Genomic DNA, 20,549 nt, shown 5'->3' with positions numbered 1-20,549 from the left:
GACCAGCCTGGGCAACACGGTGAAACCCTGTCTCTACTAAAATACAAAAAATTAGCCGGGCATGGCGGTGTGCACCTCTAATCTCAGCTACTCGGAATTTTTGAGGCAGGAGAATTGCTTGAACCTGGGAGGTGGAGGTTGTAGTGAGCTGAGATCATACCATAGCACTCTAGCCTAGGTGAGAGAGCGAGACTCCATCTCAAAAAAAAAAAAAAAAAAAGGGGGTGAGGGGCGAGTTCTATGGCATGTGAATTATATCTCAATAAAGTTGTTATTTTAACAAGAAAAATAATTAGAAGATGAGTCCAATGATTCTAACATCTCAAAAACAGTAGTTCAGACATTATAGAGTAAACAGAAGGAAAATTATTAAACACGCAAAGCTAGAAATTTTCCTAGAATTAAAAATGGTCATGAGTGTATTTACTGAAAGAGCCATTCAGATTCTGAATAGTATGAACAGAGATACTGAGAGCCAAGTTTGGACGGTGCAAACTGTGCTCACCCCAATAAATGAAAAAAAAACCACACCAAGTTACAACATTATATAATTTTTAAATTCTCAGGATAGAGAAATTTATTAGTTTTCCAGAGAAAAAATAATCAGTTGCAATAAGCGATCAAGAATATCAATGGCATTGGACTTCTGAAGAACAACTCCAGAAGGTAGAACATGGTGGAGAGAAAAACGTATTCAGAATTCTGAAGAACACTGATTTTGCAGAGTCAAAATGGACTCCCACTCAAAAGTTGTCCTGGATGTCAACACTGATTATGCCATCCACACACCAAGAAGGTATGGAAAGGTATATTACTCATATAACGAGCCTTTCTCGGGGGAAAGGTGACTCCAAGCAGGACTGAAAATGACTTGAGAATGCAGGGGAAGGAGACCTGGCCTGTAGTTTTCATGATGTTAAGAGGATTGGACCAGGTTGAGGTTTCCTGTGCATGGTTTAAACTTGCTACCATTGCCAAAAGATGGAACACCAAGGCTCTCTTGTCACCCAGAGGTGAGGTGGGAAGGGGAAGAGGGAACAGTGAGGTTTAAAAGCTGTCACACATCAAAAAATTAAATCAGTCTCTTAAATATACTAACCTAGAATTCTTACCCAGCCAAACTGTCACTCAGTTGTTAGGATAAAGGAATTTTTAGACACATATTCTTTGTACCTTTTCTCAGAAATGAAGCAGATGTTCGTGAACCAGGAAATAAATCAATAAGGAAGAAATCATGGGATCTAGGAATCAGAGTCTCTTATCTAATACAGGAAATATGTGAATTTCTTAGGATAATGGTAAAGGGAAATACCAAGAAAACAACTGTGTAGGATGCATAGAGGACAAACAGTCCAAATTTGAGCAAATGGATTGAGATCTCCAATAGCTATACTTTTTTAAAAAAGAAGAAAAGACAGAAGAAGAGGGAGAGAGGGAGGAAAATAAAAAATAGATAACCTGGTGTTTTTAAAAGTATTGAGAGGAAATTTATACTCTTGGGAAAAGTTGGAACAAGGCCGGGCGCTGTGGTTCATGCCTGTAATACCAGTACTATGGGAGGCCAAGGTGGGAGGATTACTTGAGGTCAGGAGTTCGAGACCATCTCTACTAAAAGTACGAAAAAGTAGCCAGGCGTAGCAGCACGCACCTGTAATCCCAGCTACTCAGGAGGCTGAGGTGGGAGGATTGGTTGAGCTTGGGAGGCGGAGGTTGCAGTGACCCAAGATCCTGCCACTACACTCCAGCCTGGGTGACAGAGTGAGACTCCGTCTCAAAAAGAAAGAAAAAAAAGTTGGAACAAAATAGTACTTAGTATTAATACTTAATAAGTACTTAGAAAACAAATTTTAAAATTAGGTAATAAATAGCTCAAAGGAAAAGAAATTGTAGCAAAAAGGTGATGAATGTGGCCCACAGTATAGGGCTTGGCTACGAGTATATTTGAATAGTCATAATAATAGAAACATTGAATTTATTTAATTTAGAAATGTAAAGGAGGTGCCTATCAAAAGAAATCATTAATAGAGTTGAAAGTAGTTGTCTCTAGCGAGTAGAAAATTATGATGGGGAGATATGATACAAGAGATTGCAGTTTTTGCTATAAGCCTTGTAGAACTATTTGTCATTTTAACAATGAACAATTTGATAAAAATATGTTTTTTAATTGCATTTACATTTCTAACTTGTGACACCAGGACAGCCTCCCACTGATACAGCATTAACATTTATTATTTTTTCTACTCAACTACCCAGATGGTGGGCTTTCCTTATTTCTGAGCCTGGCTTGAGTTCTGGGGCTTGGTGTTAAGGATAGCTCAGCTATGAGGGGTATTCATGAAATTTTGAGAAATGGAAGGCAAGACAGATACAATATGTGGATGGGAAGGATGAAGACAGTGTGAGAAGGATAAAAGTTAGCAAGGACAGGGACAGGACACTCTAGGGCAGTTGGAGAAGAGAAAGCAAAAGATGCTCAGAGGGAAAGCCTACTACTCTGACAGTTGAGGATATGGAGAAGGATGGTAGATTGAGTCAGTCAATTTAAGTGTTCCAGTGGCAGCTGGAGAAGATGGCCAGGTAGAAAACAATTCTCATTTTTAACAAGGGAGTTGGCATAGGAGAAAAAGTTGTGATGAGGTCTTAGGAGGAAGGACAAAGAGTTAGTTGTCTCAAGTAGGTAATGGATGAGCAGAGATAGGTGTAAGTTAGTTCCAGGGCAGGAGATAATAGGTTTTCAGAACAATGCTCCCCTTTGATCTCTTACTCACCACCCCCGACCCCCGCAACCAGTTTCTATCAGTGTTGATCTCTATCTTGTCATATTGGAAATGTTTAATAAATGTAGACTAAATATAGCAGAGCACATTTTCCCTTTTCTTACCAAATCTCTGGTTCTCCTCAACTTTTAGTACTATGTTCTGTCACCATCATTTATTGGACAGTTCTTCATTCTAGTCCACTCCCATAGGAATGACTTTAAGACTGCTGAGTCTGGGAAGATTCTCTGTTCAAATATTTGTCCATTTTCTTATTGAGGATTTGTTTTCTTATTATTGAGTTTTCATAGTTCTTCATATTCTGGTTTTTCTTTCTTTCTTTTTTTTTTTTTTTTTTTTTTGTAGAGACGGGGTTCCACTATGTTGCTCAGGCTGGTCTCAAACTCCTGGGCTCAGATGATCCTCTCACCTTGGCATCCCAAAGTGCTGTTATTACAGGCATGAGCCACTGTGCCGAGCCAGTTCTTTACATTCTGGATTTCAGTCCATTTGCAAATGTTTTCTCCCTATCTGTAGCTTGTCTTTTTTTTTTTCTTTTTTCTTTTTTTTTGGATGGAGTCTCACTCTGTCACCAGGCTGGAGTTCAGTGGCCGATCTTGATCTTGATTCACTGCAACCTCCACCTCCTGGGTTCAAGAGATTCCCCTGCCTCAGGTTCCCAGGTAGCTGAGACTACAGGTGCATGTTGCCACGCCCAGCTAATTTTTGTACTTTTAGTAGAGATGGGGTTTCACCATGTTGGCCAGGATGGTCTCTATCTCTTGACCTCGTGATCTGCCTGCCTCGGTCTCCCAAAGTGCTGGGATTACAGGCATGAGCCACTGCACCCAGCCTATAGCTTGTCTTTTAATAGTCTCTTTTGAAGGGACGTTTTAAATTTTGCTGAAGTCCAAATTATCAGTGCTATTGTTTTATGAATCTTTTTTAGTGTTATATAAAAAAATTCTTTGCATAACTCGGTGTTACAGTTTTCTCCATTTTTTAAAAGAAGTTTTAGAGTTTTAGGAGTTACATTTAGATATATGATGCATTTAGAGTTAATTTCTTTACATGATGGAAGGTATGAGTGCAAGTTTTTTTATTTTGTTTTTTTATATGGATACCTAGTTGTTCCAGCACATTTTGTTTAAAAGACTATCCTTTCTCCACTGAATTGCCTTTACATATTGGTCAAAAATCAGTTGCTTATCTATGTGTGAGTCTATTTCCATGCTCTCTTATTAAATTCCTTTAATATATTTGTGTATGTGTAGGCTCATTGTTTTTTAGATGAAATAACTAGAATCACCCTTTCCTCAGCTAGTTAGCTTACAATTAATGGGTTACTTATATATAAAACTTAAATTTTGGCTGGGCACGGTGGCTCACGCCTATAATCCTAGTACTTTGGGAGGCCGAGGCAGGTGGATCATGAGGTCAGGAGTTCAAGACCAGCCTGGCCAACATGGTAAAACCCCGTCTCTACTAAAAAAAAAAATAAAAAAAAAATAATTAGCCAGGATGGTGGCACATTCCTGTAATCCCAGCTACTCGGGAGGCTGAGGCAGGAGAATTGCTTGAACTGGGACCCGGGAGGCGGAGGTTGTAGTGAGCCAAAATCGTGCTACTGCACTCCACCCTGGGCTATAGAGTGAGACTCGGTCTCAAAAAAAAAAATTAAAAAATTAAATTTTTGAGCCAAGAATCACAACTGAACCAAACTAGAGAAAAGGAGTAAGTTGTAAAACTTTGAAAAACAACAAAAGGGGATTATAACAAATTTATCACCATCAAAAATAGAATGATTGTCCAAGATCAAATTAAAATAGTTTAAAATATTATGCCTTTTTAGTTGTATGTAGAAGCAGTCTTATGTTCTAGTAATAATATATAACTAAGCATGTACATTTCCATACATTTCAATTTTTAGGATTTCACATTGTTTTGTATCAAAAGATTTATCAATTTTTTTTTCCTTTATTCTACAGGATTAAGTTTGCACCATGGTATGGCCAGTTCTCTTCTGAGCTATTCAGTCACAGACTCTTATGCAGAATACAAGAGTTTTGAAGAGAGCTTTCCATCACCTGAACTGTTCAGAAAATCAGATTATTTAGGTGAGAAAGTAATTCCAACCTTAAATTGCTCTACTATAGAAATTATTCTTTTGTCCACAAATCCTCCAATGAATAAACGTCCCTTTCGAGAAGGCATACTCCTCTTCCTCACCAACACCTCACTTCCCTGACCATTACCCGTTGTGTTTCATTCCCAGTCACATAGGACTAATAGAGCAAAAGCCCTCAGATCAAGGAAGGATGAAGAAATGTCATTTAGCATTTATATGTAATACACATCCAATTATTAATCAATTTTGCACCTAATGAATGTATACTTGTTCTCTTGAACCATGTGTTATCTTTTTTTTCCTGTACTTATCTTACTTTTCAGCAAATAACTTAAATGTTAGCTAGGCCAAGTCCCTGCTTGAATTTTCTCCACAAATTAAGAGTTATTTACATTTATTATACATATAAATATAACCTTTGGTTAATGATGGCAGATCAAATACATGCCTTACTCTACAATCTTGCAATGGCAGAAAACAGCTTTTTCTTTAAAGTAATACGCTCATAAGGACAAAGATAATTGAAAAAAAGAAAGTACAAAGTTTGGAAGGTTAATCAGGTGATCTGATACAGCAGACCTAAGAAAGCGGAGTCCTAAACCAACAATGTGAATACCCCAGAAACAAGCCAATTTGCACTATAGTGTCACAGAAAAGCTCATAATTTGGTTGTGCCAAATGCTTGTAAATAGATGTCAAAAACATGAAAGATGTGGTTAACTGCTCCTTTCCTGCTCAAAGGGAGCCTGGAGATGTATTCTTTAGAATATTTTGAAACAGGGACTCTAGACTGGAGAATACTAGGTCCTTTTAATAGCAGGGATACTGTGGTATTTTGAAATGTCAGTCCCAATTATTCGTTTCTCTGTAGTATTATATTCATACCCTCGTAATGGGTGGAGTATTCTTTTCCACTCTCTGGCTTTGGGATTGGCCATGTCACTTGCTTTCTGCAACAAACACAATTTAAGAAAAGCTTTCAAATTGCTTAAATGGTTGAGCTTGTCTTCTTGCACTTTTGGCATTATCATGAGAATGGACCCTAATTAGCTTCTGCCTCTCTCGTGGAACCCCAGAATGAGAGTTACAGAGTGGAGCAGTCTAGGCAACCAGCTCACTTCAGAGAGCTGCCCCAGCTGATCTGCAGATCTGTAATCTGAGTTACCTGAGCCAACTAATAGACATGGAAACAAAAAATAAATGCTTCTCACTTTGTGCCACTGAGATTTTGTGGTTGTTTATTAAACAGCCAAAGCAGACTGCTGCAGATAATGTACTGAATTTGGAAGAGGGAATTAAGTAAAAGTGTACATCCTAAATTATGGGATCTGCTCACCCAATGCTTATTTCCACCCCACCCCAGCAGCCCATTTTTCTTGTCAGCTTCCCAGACTTGAACCTTCTGCTGAGAAAATGGAAGATTATTTTCTCAGGAACTGAGTACCCCAGAAGAAAATATCTAAAGATACTGACCCCAGGAGTCCTCAATGAAACTGACCAGGTGGAAGACCCTACAGTGAAGCCAACTATGTGACAAGCCCCACCTAGGCCATAGGGATACCACTTAGCCTTTTAGGACCCACTTCTAAATATGAACAGAGAGCCAAGGATCACCAGACTTCTGAGGAAAGCCTCTAACATTAAAAAGAGATATCAAAACAAAACAAAATGTGAGAATGGTGTCAGCAAGATGTTGAAACAGGAAGCCATGGATCTGCCTACTCCTTATGGACACACCAATTCAACAGCAATATATGGACCAGTTCCCTTTGTGAAAAATTCAGAAAATAGTCGACAGGCGCCTGCATCCTGGCAAGCATGGGGCCAGCCACATCAAAGCCAGTAGGAAAATTTGAGACATCCTCACCATAATTCCTACTCCTAGCACAGCATCATACAGTTGAGAGGAAACCCATACCACAGTTTTCAGCTTCTCCCTGAGGGGAAGAGCAAGATAAGGGACTTGACAATACATCCAGTGTTCTGAATTCTCTGAGGGATGCCTGAGGGAACTGATTTCGGTCTTGCCTGTCTCAGAGTGCTGATAGGACCCAACATACCCAAGGTGATTGGTGACTGCTGAGAACAAAGATGACAATTTGGTCTAGGACACAAACATTTGCCATAGGCTCTCCACCTAGCTCAGTGCAGAGTGAGTGGGGGAAAAAAAAAGATTCCAGCTTCTCCCTCGGGAGAGAAAGAGTTGGACTTTGTGTCCAATGTTCCAACTTTTCAAGGGATGTTCTTGGGACTACCTTCTGTCACACCTGTCTTACAATGTTGACAAGATCTGACATATTGTAAATGCCTGGAGGCTGATAACAACAAAGACGGTGGTTTGGACTAGCACAAAGATTTGAGAGATCCCTGGGTAGGCTTATTCATAAGGGTCTTCTGTACAATGCCAGACTGGGAGAAGTGGCTGTTATTTTCTAATGCGTAGATGCTGATACAAGTAAAATTGTCAAGGAAAATTAAGAAGCAGGGAAACATGGTCGAAACAAAGGAACAAGATAAATCCCCAGAAACTGACCCCAATGAAATGGAGATATACAAATTGTCTGACAACTAATTCAAAATAATCATTAAAAAGATGCTCAACAAGTTGAGAACAATACATGAACCAAATAAGAATTTCAACAAAAAGGAAGTTTTAAAAAGAACAAAATAGGAATTTTTGGAGCTGAAGAATACTATCACTGAACTGAGGCCAGGCACAGTGGCTCATGCCTATAATCCCAATGCTTTAGGAGGCTGAGGTGGGAGGATCACTTGAGCCAAGGAGTTTGATGTTACAGTGAGCTATGATTATGCTACTGCACTCCAGCCTGGATGACAGAGCAAGACTGCTCTAAAAAAAATAAAAAAGAATAAAAGAAAAATTCAGTAGAGCAATATAACAGCACACTAGCTCAAGAAGAATAAAGAATTAGTGAGCTTGAGGACAGGTCATTTTTAAAGACTCCAAAAGCAATTGCAAGAAAAACAAAAATTGACAAATGGGACCTAATTAAACTGAAGAGCTTCTGCACAGCAAAATAAACTATCAACACAGTAAACAGACAACCTACAGAATGGGAGAAAATATTTGCAAACTATGCATCCAACAAAGATCTAATATCCAGAATCTATAAGAAATTTAAATCAGCAAGCAAAAAAACGATCCTATTAAAAAATGGGCAGAGGACATGAATATAAAGAAGACTAAAGAAGTATGTCTTCTTCTCATTAGAGAAATGCAAATCAAAACCACAATGAGATAGCATTGCATACCAGTCAAGGTGGCTATTATTAAAAAGTCAAAAAATAATGTGTTTGTGAGATTGTAGAGAAAAGGGAAAGCTTATACACTGCTGGTACACAGGAGGAATGGGAATGTAAATTAGTTTGGCCAATGTGGAAAGAAGTTTGCAGATTTCTCAAAGAACCTAGAACTATCATTTGACCCAACAATCCTATTACTGGATATATTTCCAAAGGAATCATTCTATAAAGACACATGAACACATATGTTTGTTGCAGCTATTTTCACAATAGCAGAGACGTGGAATCAACCTAAATGCCCATCAGTGGTAGACTGGATAAAGAAAGTGTAGTACACGTACACCATGGAATACTACACAGAAATAAAAAAGAATGAAATCATATCTTTTGCATCAGCATGGATGCAGCTAGAGACCGTTATCCTAAGCAAATTAATGCAGGAACAGAAAACCAAATACCATATGTTCTCATAAGTGGGAACTAAACATTGAGTACACATGGACACAAAGAAGGGAACAGTAGACACTGGGGCTTACTTGAGGTTGGAGGGTGGGAAGAGGGTGAAGATTGAAAAGCTACCCATTGGATACTATGCTCACTATCTGGGTGACAAAATCCATTTGTACACCAAGCCCCAGTGACACACAGTTTTCCCATGTAACAAATGTGCATCTGTACCCCCTATATCTAAAATAAAAATTGGAAGAAAAATAAAGGTCATTTAGCATTATGCCATTAGTGAAGAAAAAAGAATGAAAAGATTGAAGAAATCCTAAGAGACTTGTGAGCCACTATCAAGCAGACCAACATTTGCATTATGGGAGTCCCAGAGAAGAAGAGAGAAAGGACTAGAAAGTGTATTTGAAGAAATAGTGGCTAAAATCATCCCAAATCTGGGGAATGAAATGGACATTTAGATCCAGGAAGCCCAAGGGACCCAAGTAGAAGGAAGCCAAGAAATCCACACTGAGAAACAGTATAAATGAGTTGTCAAAAGTCATATACAAAGACAGTTTTGAAAGCAGCAAGTAAAAAGTGACTTGACATGTACAGGGGAGCCCCCATAAAACTATGAGTGGATTTCTCAGCAGAAACCTTACAGATCAGAGAGAATGGGATGATATATTCAAAGTGCTGAAAGAAAAATTATCAACCAACAACAGTACACCCAGGAAAACTGTCTTTCAAAAATGGAGAGACAAGGAGTTTCCCAGACAAACAAAAGCAGAGGGAATTTACCATGACTAGACCTGCCTAACAAGTAATGCTGAAAGGAATTATTTAAGTTGAAACTCAAGGATGCTAAACAGTAACATGAAAGTATAAGACTCATTGGTAAAGATAAATATATAGATAAATACAGAATACAGTAATATTGTAATAGTAGTTTACTATTAAGCTCTTCAGTTTAATTAGGTCCCATTTGTCAATTTTTGTTTTTGTTGCAATTGCTTTTGGAGTCTTTAAAAATGACCTGTCCTCAAGCTCACTAATTATTTATAGTATACTATTACAATAGTAATGTAATAGTAATTGTAATACTGTACAGAATACAGTAATACTGTTATAGTAGTATACCAGAATTAAATCACTTTTAGTTCTGGTATACGAGTTAAAAGATAAAAACGTTAAAAACTAACTGAAGATGTTAATAATACAACATAAAATATATAAATTGTGACATGAATAAAGTGCAGGAGGGGGAGAAGTATAAGTGTAGTTTTTGTATGCAATTGAAATTAAGTTATCAGCTTAGACTGTTAACAACTATAGAAGATTTTACGTAAGCCCGATGGTCAACACAAACAAAATTCCTATGGAAGAATCACAAAAGAAGAAAAAGAAAAGCATTATCGATATATACAAAAAGCAGTGGAACACAAAGGCAGCACTAAAGGAAAAAGGGACAAAAGAATTACAAGACAGAAACAATTAGTGAAATGACAATAGTTAAGTCCTTACCTATCAATAATTACTTTAAATAAGTTAAACTTCCCAATCAAAACACAGAGTGACTGAATGGATAAAAGAACAAGACCTAATGATGTGATGTCTACAAGTGACCCTCTTTAGATTTTTTTTTTTTTTTTTTTTGAGACGGAGTTTTGCTCTGTCGCCCAGGCTGGAGTGCAGTGGCGCGATCTCAACTCACTGCAAGCTCCGCCTCCCGGGTTCATGCCATTCTCCTGCCTCAGCCTCCCGTGTAGCTGGGACTACAGGCGCGCGCCACCGTGCCCGGCTAATTTTTGTATTTTTAGTAGAGACGGGGTTTCACCGTGTTAGCCAGGATGGTCTCGATCTCCTGACCTCGTGATCCGCCCGTCTCGGACTCCCAAAGTGCTGGGATTACAGGCGTGAGCCACCGCGCCCGGCCGATCCTCTTTAGATTTAAGGATACATACACTAAAAATGGAGAGATGGAAAAAGATATTCCATACAAATGGTAACCAAAAGAGAGGAGGGTGGCTATATTTATGTCAGACAAGATAGACTTTAAATCAAAAACAGTCATGAGAGACAAAGAAGAACAAAAATAATAATAAAAGGGTCAATTCACCAGGAAGATATACAGTTATAAATATGTATGCACCCAACATCAGCATCTAAATATATAAAACAGACATTGACAGAACTGAAGGGAAAAATAGTAATACAATAATTGTGGGATAATTCAGTATAACCCACTTTTAACAATGGATAGAACATTCAGACAGAAAACAGGTAAGCAAACAGCAGACTTGAACAGCGCTATAGACAACATGGACCTAACATGTATACAAAACATTCTACCTGACAGTGGCAGAATATATATTTCTCTCATGCACAGATAGGACATTCTCCATAATAGATCACATTATGTCACAAAACAAGTCTTAACAAATGGAAGACTGAAAACATACCAAGTATCTTTTCTGACCATAATGGAACAAAACTAGAAATCAGTAGCAGAAGGAATACTGGAAAATTCACAAATATGTGGAAATTTAACATACTCTTGAATAACCAGTGAGTCAAAGAAGAAATCAAAAGGGAAATTAGAAAATATCTTCGGATGAAAGCACAATATATTAAAACGTGGGATATAGCAAAAGCAGTACTGAGGGAATTTTATAACAATAACTAAATTTAAAAAGAAAAATTTCAAATAAGCTAATGTTACACCTCAAGGAACTAGAAAAAAAGAATGAACAGCCAAAAATTATCAGATAGAAGGAAATAAAATTTAGAGCAGAAATAAATGGAACAGAAAATTGAAAAAAATAGAAAGAAATCAGTGAAACTGAGAGTTGGTTTTTTGAAAAGACAAGTTTGACAAACTTTTAGTTAGATTAAGAAAAGAAGACTCAATAAAATTCAAAGTGCAAGATGAGACATTATACCTGATGCCACAGAAACAAAAATAATCATGAGACTACCATGCCCAATTATAGGACAATAAATTGAATAACCTAGAAGGAAAGAAGAAATTCCTAGAAACATATAACCTATGTCATGAAGAAATATGAAATCTGGACAGACCTATAACTAGTAAGGAGATTGAACCAGCAATCAAAAACCTTCCAACAAAGAAAATCCAGGACCAGATGGCTTCACTGGTGAATTCTACCAAACATTTAAAGAGTATTTAATTCTAATTCTTAAACTCTTCTAAAAAATTAAAGAGGAGAAGACACTTTCAAACTAATTCTTTAAGGCCAGCATTACCCTCATACTAAAGCGAGGTAAATACTACAAGCAAAGACAACTGTAAGACAATATCCCTGATGAACATAGATGTAAAAATCCTCAACAAAATACTAGCAATTGAAATTCATCTCTATATTAAAAGGATCATACACCATGACCAGGTGGCGTTTATCTCTGGAATGCAAGGATGGTTCCAAATACAAAAATCAACTAAAGTGATACACTACATTAACAGAATGAAGGGTAACAATTACACGATAATTTCAGTAGATGCAGCAAAATGATTTGACAAAATTCAACATCTTTTATGATGAAAACTCTCAAACTAGGAACAGAAGGCAATTACCTCAACATAATAAAGACTGTATATGAGAAGCCCATAGCTAACATCATACTCAGTAGTAAAAAACTGAAAGCTTTTCCTCTAAGATCAGGAAGTATGCTGAATACTTTTATTCAGCATAGTCCTAGTCACAGCAATTAGGCAACAAAAAAATAAAAGCGTCTAAATTGAAAAGAAGTAAAATAATCTGTTTTTGCAGATGACATGATCTTATATGTAAAACACTCTAAAGACACCACAAGGCTGGGTGTGGTGGCTCACACCTGTACCCCAGCACTTTAAGAGGCCAAGGCGGGCAGATCACATGAGATCAGGAGTTTGAGACCAGCCTGGCCAAAATGGTGAAAGCCCTTCTCTACTAAAAATACAAAAATAAGCCAGCATGGTGGCAGGTGCCTGTAGTCCCAGCTACTCAGGAGGCTGAGGCAGGAGAATCACTTTAACCTGGGAGGCAGAGGTTGCAGTGGGCCGGGATCATGCCACTGCACTCCAGCCTGAGTGACAGAGCAAGACTCTGTCTCAAAAAAAACAAAAAACAAAAAAAACACAAAAACTTATTTGAACGATTAAATGAATTTGGTAAAATTGTAGATTATAAAATCAACATACGAAAATCAGTTGTGTTTCTATATCCTAGCAATAAACTACCTGAAAAGGAAATAAAACAATCTCATTTACAATATCATCAAAAAGTATAAAATATTTAGGAATAAACTTAAGAAGTAGAAGATATGTATGCTGGAAAACAATGATGAATAAAATTTAAAAAGATGCAAGCAAATGGATGCACATCCCATGTTTATGAGTTGGAAGACTTAATATTGTTAAAATATCCATACACCCAAAGCAGTCTACAAATTTGATGCAATCTCTATCAAAATCTCAATGGCATTTTTTAACAGAAATAACAAAGCAACCCTGAAGTGTATATGGAACCACAAAGAAGCTCAAATAGCCAAAACAATCTTGAGAAGAACAAAGTAGGAACATCATACTTCCTGATTTCAAAATACATTGCAATGCTATAGTAATTCAAACAGTATGATACTGTCATAAGAGAAATGAATCTGTACATATATGGCCAACTTATCTTTGACAGGATGGAGTGCCAAGAATACACAATGAGGAAAGGATACTTTCTTCAACAAATGCTATTGGGAAAACTGAATATCCACATACAAAATAATGAAATTGGACATTGACACCCATACACAAAAATTAATTCAAATTGGATTAAATACTTAAATATAAGACCTTAAGCTGTAAAACTCCTAGAAGAAAACATAGGGGAAAAGCTTCATAACATTAGTCTTAGCAGTGATTTCGTGGATATGCTACCAAAAGTATAGGCAACAAGAGCAGTAACGAGTGAGACATCATCACTTCTGCACAGCAAAAGAAACAATCAACAGAGTAAAGAGATAACCTACCAAAATGGAAGGAAATATGTATAAATCATATATCTGATAAAGGAGTAAATAATTAAAATGCGTAAGGAACTCTTATAACTGAATAGCAAAATTAAGCAAAAAAAACAACCTGATTGAAAAAATAGACAAATAACTTGAATAGATATTTCTCCAAAGCAGCAGCAGCAATAGCCAGCAAGTATATGAAAAAATGCTCAACATCATTAATCATCAGGAACATGCAAATCAAAACCACAGTATCACCTCACACTTGTTAAAAGGGCTATTACCAAAAAAACAAAAAACAAAAGATAACAAATGTTGGCAAGGGTGTGGATAAATTAGAACCCTTGTACACTGTTGGTGGGAATGTAAAATGGCACAGCAGCTATAGAAACAGTATGGAGGTGTCTCTAAAAATTAAAGACAGAATGACCATGTGGTCCATCAATCCCTGTGTGAATATCCAAAATAATTAAAATCAGGATCTCAAAGAGATATTAGCACTCCCTTATTCATTGCAGCATTATTCACAGTAGCCGAGAGGTGGAAAAAACCTAAATGTTTGTTGATAGATGAATGGATAAAGAAAATGTGATGTATAAATACAATGGAATATTATTCAGTCTTAAGAAAGAAATCCTGCAATTTGTGACAACATGGATGAACCTTGAGGACATTATGTTAAATGAAATAAGCCAGTCACAGAGGGTCGAATACTTGATATTTCCACTTATATGAGTTATCTAAAAGAGCCAAACTCATAGAAGCAGAGAGTAGGATGATGTTCGACAGGAACTGGCAGGAAAGGAAAATTGGGAGTTGCTATCAATGGGTATTAAGTTTCACTTACACATGTAGGAGTGAGCTCTAGAGAGCTGCTATAGAACACTGTGCCTTTAGTTAACAACACTGGATTGTACACTTAAAAGTTTGAGTGTAGATCTCATGTTAAGTGTTCTAACTATAAAAATAATTTTAAATATTAAAATGTTTAAACTTTTAAAATTAAAAAAATCTTGAAACAAGGAAATTAAGTAGGAGGAAAAAGAATCAAGGAGAAATAGGAACAAGGAGAGGAAAATATTTTTAAAAATCTTCATTGAGATAAGAAAATATGTATTTTATCCGTTAAATAAGAATAGGATGCTATGAAGAAGAGGCTGTTCTAAGAACAATGAAGTGCAAAAGCAGAATGGAAAACTCAGTAAAAGGATTAAAATATTAAGTTGAGATTTACCAGAAAAAAAAATCATAAGAAAAAAAGGAGGAAAAAAGAGGAGAAAATAAAGAAAAAAAAAGATTAAAATTTAGAGGAAAAAAATATAAGATAGAAGAACAGTATATGAAATCCAACATCAAATAATAGGAGTTCCAGGAAAAGATAACAGAAAAAAGGGAAGAAAATTATTAAGAAATAATTCAAGAACATTTTTCGAGCTATAAATTATGAGTTTCCAGGTTAAAAGGACCATAGTGTGCCTAGTACAGTAGATGAAAAACACCAAGGCACAGCATTAGAAATTCTAAAACACCTGGGAGTGGAATAAATGGAATGGATTTATGCAATTTGGTAGCATTTGAGATTAAATAGATTTAAAAATATAGAGGGACCAGGAGTGGTAGCACACACCTGTAATCACAGCACTTTGGGAGGCTGAGGCAGGCGGATTGCTTGAGGTCAGGAGTTTGAGACAAGCCTGGCCAACATGGCGAAACTGTCTCTACACAAATAAAATATTAGCCGGGTGTGGTGGTGGATGCCTGTAATCCCAGCTACTCAGGAGTCTGAGGCAGGAGAATCACTTAAACCCAGGAACCGGAGGTTGCAGTGAGCCAAGATCACACCACTGCATTCTAGCCTGGGCGACAGAGCAAGACTCTTCTCAAAAAAGTGTGTGTGTGTGTATAAAACTAAACAGATGAGGAAAGGGACTTGTATTGACTCCAGGAAAAACAAAAGGTGGTTTTGATATACCACCAGAGTAAACAGCATTTTTATAACATTTTATCATCATATGTCTATATGAATATTGATCTAACTTAATATATGATATAACAATATGGGAACGATGGGAGAGGTAGGAAAGGTGGGGATGGGCGAATATACAGGTAATAGCCTTATTCCATAGTGGGAAGTCACTAGAAAGCTTAAAACTGATATTAAGTAATAGCAGTTTACGTACAGTTGTCCCTTGGTATCCATGGGGGTTGGTTCCAAGACCTCCCTTGGATACCAAAATCTGTGGATGCTGAAGTCCCTGATATAAAATGGCATGGTATTTGCATGTAACCTATGCACATCCTCCTATATACTTTAAATAATCTTTAGATTACTTATAATACTTAATGCAATGTAAATGCTATGTAAATAGTTGTTATACTGTATTGTTTAGTGAATAATGACAAGAAAAAAAAAAGGCTGTATATGTTGAGTATGGATGCAATTTTTTTCCTGAATATTTTCAGTCCATGGTTGGTTGAATCCACAAATGTGGAACTCATAAATACAAAGGGCTGACTGTATGTTATTTAGTGATGCGATTTTTAATGGCACATAGGTATAACATATATAAAATATAACAGGCAGCTCACATGTGTGCTACCTGTCTCTTAGATCAATAATCCGCATGGTAGAAAAGTCTAGAGAGGAAGGCAGGGTAAGAGAACCAGAATAGACTATAGATTATTTACTATATTGATCCATCAAGGCTTATTTTTTTCTGTCTCATCCAAAACCTTCAAATATAATACCATCATTTAGTATGGGCTGGGGGCCTAAGGTGGGGTAGGGAGTAACCCATCATTTGTAGGCTGTTGTTCAAAGTCTTACACTATTTCTTCTCTGCTGTTTTAGACTGGGAGTGTCCCAACTTGGAAGAACACATGCAGTGGAAGAATTCTACTCTTCTGGATACCAGTAAAGCAGTAGCGATAGAGAAGGCACCACAGTTTTCAAATGTCTCAGCAATTTTCAGTGAGTTGCACACACAGGGGAACATTTCTCATCTATGTTGGAAAAGCAAAGTATTTTTTCTCTTGAATGATTTCTAAGCTAAGTCTATCAGTTGGATTGCCTTTGGCTACAGATAATATCTAATAATAGCATAAGTATGTATGAGTTTACTTTTTTATTTATTTTGAGATGGAGTCTCACTATGTTGCCCAGGCTGGAGTGCGGTGGCATGATTTAGGCTCACTGCAACCTCTGTCTCCCAGGTTCAAGCAGTTCTCCTGCCTCAGCCTCCCTAGTAGCTGGGGTTACAGGCACGTGCCACCACAGCTAGTTAATTTTTGTATTTTTATAGAGATGGGGTTTCACTATGTTGGCCAGGCTGGTCTTGAACTCCTGACCTCAGGTGATCTGCCTGCCTTGGCTTCCCAAAGTGCTGGGATTACAGGTGTGAGCCACTGCTCCCAGGCACATCAAGCTAATTTAAACAATTTTTTCTAGAGATGGAGTCTCGCTATGTTGCCCAGGCTGGTCTCAAACTCCTGGCCTCAAGCAATTCTTCTACCTTGGCCTTCCAAAGTGCTGAGATTATAGGCATGAGCCATTGCACTCAGTCTTTTATAACTTTTTATTTTGAACTATTTTTAGACTTTTCATTTAGTCTTTCTTTTTTTCTGTTTCATGATCCTATCCTGGATCCCATGTTGCATTTAATTGTTATTTCTCCCTAGTCTCCTGCAGTTTGTAATACTTCCTCAGTCTTTCAGATTACTGATGTTATTTTGTAGAATGTCCCTTAGTTGGGATTTGTCTTGATGTTTCCTCGTGATAGGAATGAAGTTATGGCTGGGTGCAGTGGCTGACACCTGTAATCCCAGCACTTTGGGAGACTGAGGTGGGAGGACTGCTTGAGGCGAGGAGTTTGAGACCAGCCTGGGCAACATAGTGAGACCTCTATCTCTACAAAAAATAAAAAATGAGCCAGATGTGATGGTGCACGCCTGTAGTCCCAGCTACTCAAGAGGCTGAGGTGGGAGAATGAGAGGATCGCTTGAGCCCAGGAGGTCAAGGCTACAGTGAGCCACGTTTGTACCACTGAACTTCTGCCTGGGTGACAGAATGAGGATCTTCTCAAAAAAAAAAAAAAATGAAGTTATGCAGTTTTTGGTAAGAATACCACAGAAATGATGTTGTGCCTTTGCAGTGTATCATATCATATCAAAGGGTTCATGATGTCCCCCCATTTTTATTTGAAGAATATTATGTCTTACTAGTGGTGATGGTAAATTTCATCATTTAGTTAAGGTGGTATCTGCTGAATTTCTCCAATTAAAGATTATGTTTTCTCTTTGTAATTTTTGAATATCTACAAAAAGATAGTTTGAGACTGTAAACTCTGTTTCTCCTCAAACTTTATTTCACTAATTTTAGCAGCCATCAGAGGAGCCAGCTGACTTCAACCTTTATTACTGTGGTGTTTGTCCAAGGGTGATTTTTTATTCTGTTCTTTCCTGCTACTTTTATTAATTGGAATTTTACTGTAAAAGAAGAACTTTCTCTTTTCTGCCATTTGTTTGTTTATTTGATTACTTATTCAGTGTAGACTCATGGATATTTATTCTATGGTTTGAAATCCAATATTTTCATCATTCGTTCATTTATTTATTTATTTCTAGTATATATGTATAGAGTAGTTTCAGAAGTGTTAACCCAGGCTCCTGTAAGAAACACATTTAGTAAATAAATTACAGCATTTGCATACAGTTCTTTTTGTCTTTAGCATTACAGCATCCAGTCAAAATACTAATTTTCCAAAGTTATGTAAGTTCATTTTCTCCCCACCTCCCTTAGCATATGAGAAGTTATTCACTTGTAATATGTATAGCTAGACTCATTTGTTATTGATTCACTTTTGCATTCACCTTTCCTGTTTGGTTTTGTTTATGTATTCGGGAATATGAAATATTACTATGGTTTTAAGAGTCATAGCTATATAAAAAGTTATTCTCAGAAAATTGTCACTTTCTCCTTCTTCCAGCTACCATTCTTCTCTTCTTTCTACCCCTTTCTCACTTAACCCCTATGGATAACTGGTCTTTTTAGTTTTTGGCTTATCCTTCCTGTGTTTCTTTTGTACAAATCAGGAGATATCCATGTATTTCTTTATATCCTCTTCTTTGTTACATGAAGGGTACCGTGCTATATAGCTACTCTTTTTTCACTTTGATTTTTCCACCTAACAGTATGTACTGGAAATCACTCCACATTGGTTTACATAGAGATCTTCCTTTTATTTTTTACAGCTGCATAGTACTCCACTCTGTGGATGTACTTTTGTTGATTCAAAAATACCTATAAATTGGGTATTTAGGTTTTTCCCCAGTATTTTGCCACCATCAACAATACTGCAATGAATAAACCTATGATATATATTTTCATGTTATTGGCAGTGTGTCTTCAAGGTAGATTTCCAGAGGTAGGATAGCTGGGTCAAAAGGTAAGTGCATATATCATTTTATTGGATATTGCCAAATTTTCCTCCAGAAGGATTATAACAGTTTGCATTCCCAACAGCAGTGTGTTAAAGTGCTGGTCTCACTATATCCTTACCAACAGAATGTGTTGTCATATTTTTTTTTAATTTTTGCTACTCTAATAGGTGACAAATGGTATCTCTGTGCTATTTTAACTTGCATTTCCATGATTATATGTGAGTTTAAACATTTTTCATATGTTTAAGGGCCATTTTTATTTGAAGAATATTGGCCTTTTGTCTGTTGTATATATTATGAATATTTTGTCCCAGTTTGTCAGTTGTCTTTTTGTTCATGGTATGTTTTGTCATGCAAAAATTTTTTATTCATACTGGGTTTATGTTTCTCCCATACCAGCCCAGAGCTAGTGTAGCAGTTCTCTAATATCATCAAGATCATAGGGTCTTATGTCAACATACAACCAAGTGTGTTGGCTTGTTCCCCATAGTTGCAAGGTGGTTGCTAAACTCTAGGTGTCACAGCCGTGTTCCTGGTAGAAAGAATGAGATAGGGCAGGAGTAGCCCCACATGTATTCTTTTATTGGAAGAAGAAAAGCTTTCCCAGAAATTCCCAGCTGACTTCTACTTTGGTCTATTGGCCAGAACTGGGTCATGCATCTATCTACCACCAGGGAGGCTGAGAAACCAAGTATTTTGCTTTCCTATCCTCTATTGTGGTAGAAGGCAAGGAAAATGAAGAAGAGGAGTAGGAATGGATATTGTCAGCCCACCTATTAGAGCCTGCCACTAAGAAAGGGTCATATTAGTCAAAGAACATTGAGTTAGGGGTCCTTTATTGGAAAGTTGATAGCTGTCTGGATGGCCATATTTCTACAGTGTTTGAAGGCCTTGTCTTCTGTGTTATGTTTAGTTTGGCAACTCCTTTACTGAAACAAAATTCTCAAAGAAGCAGGCTGTCTCTTTAGCAAATACTTTGGTTAGGATTCTTGTCCATTGCAAATGTCAAAAAATCTAACAGTATTAGGTTAAAAAGGGAATTTGTTACCACGTGTACTTGAAAAATTCAGCAATAAATCAGGTGCAAATGCAACTTGATCCAGGGTTTCAAATGATATCGGTAGGATCCATTTCCTCTCTATCTCTTGGCTCAGGATCCCTCTATGTCAGTTATGCTCTCAGACAAGTCCCTTCTTAGAGCAACTTTTGCTGGCTGTGGGCTTACATAATCACAGCCTCAAATACATTGAAAAAAGTGCTTCTCTTTCCCAACAATTTGAACTGAAGTCCTGGACCTTACACATGGGCTTCATTAGTTTATATGCCTTACCCTGAACCAGTCACTTTGTCCAGCGAGATGCAGGGCTCTCACAGCATTGAGTTATAGGCTATGCCTGGACCCTCGGGGGAAAAAAAATGAGGTGACTGTTACCAGCAAAAACAGAGTAGATGCTAGATGATGAGGGTCCACTGTAGCCTTTTATGTTTTGAGAACCTCCCTTTGAGGAAATGCTTAA

The 20,549-nt window shown here is 37.2% G+C and overlaps 1 protein-coding gene across 1 annotated transcript in view, besides 1 other annotated feature; it reads left to right on the top strand.

Moving 5' to 3' along the window:
* MEIKIN (meiotic kinetochore factor) overlaps positions 1-20,549 on the top strand; it is a 138,674-nt gene that overhangs the window by 7,278 nt on the left and 110,847 nt on the right. Inside the window, exons 5-6 of the mRNA NM_001303622.2 lie at positions 4,745-4,873; positions 16,445-16,564. Of these exons, the coding sequence (NP_001290551.1) occupies positions 4,745-4,873; positions 16,445-16,564 (249 nt within the window). The remainder of the gene's footprint in view (positions 1-4,744; positions 4,874-16,444; positions 16,565-20,549) is intronic.
* Positions 5,615-6,168: an enhancer, noted in NCBI's record as "OCT4-NANOG hESC enhancer chr5:131267911-131268464 (GRCh37/hg19 assembly coordinates)". NCBI's record gives its function as "activates a minimal SCP1, AML or CMV promoter by ChIP-STARR-seq in primed H9 embryonic stem cells {active_cell/tissue: H9 hESC(primed)}" and the evidence as "EXISTENCE:reporter gene assay evidence [ECO:0000049][PMID:30033119]".

The sequence above is a fragment of the Homo sapiens genome, chromosome 5, assembly GCF_000001405.40.
Source record: "Homo sapiens chromosome 5, GRCh38.p14 Primary Assembly".
Taxonomy (NCBI): domain Eukaryota; kingdom Metazoa; phylum Chordata; class Mammalia; order Primates; family Hominidae; genus Homo; species Homo sapiens.
The sequence above is the reverse complement of the archived record's forward strand: the minus strand, read 5'-3'. Positions and strand labels throughout refer to the sequence as shown.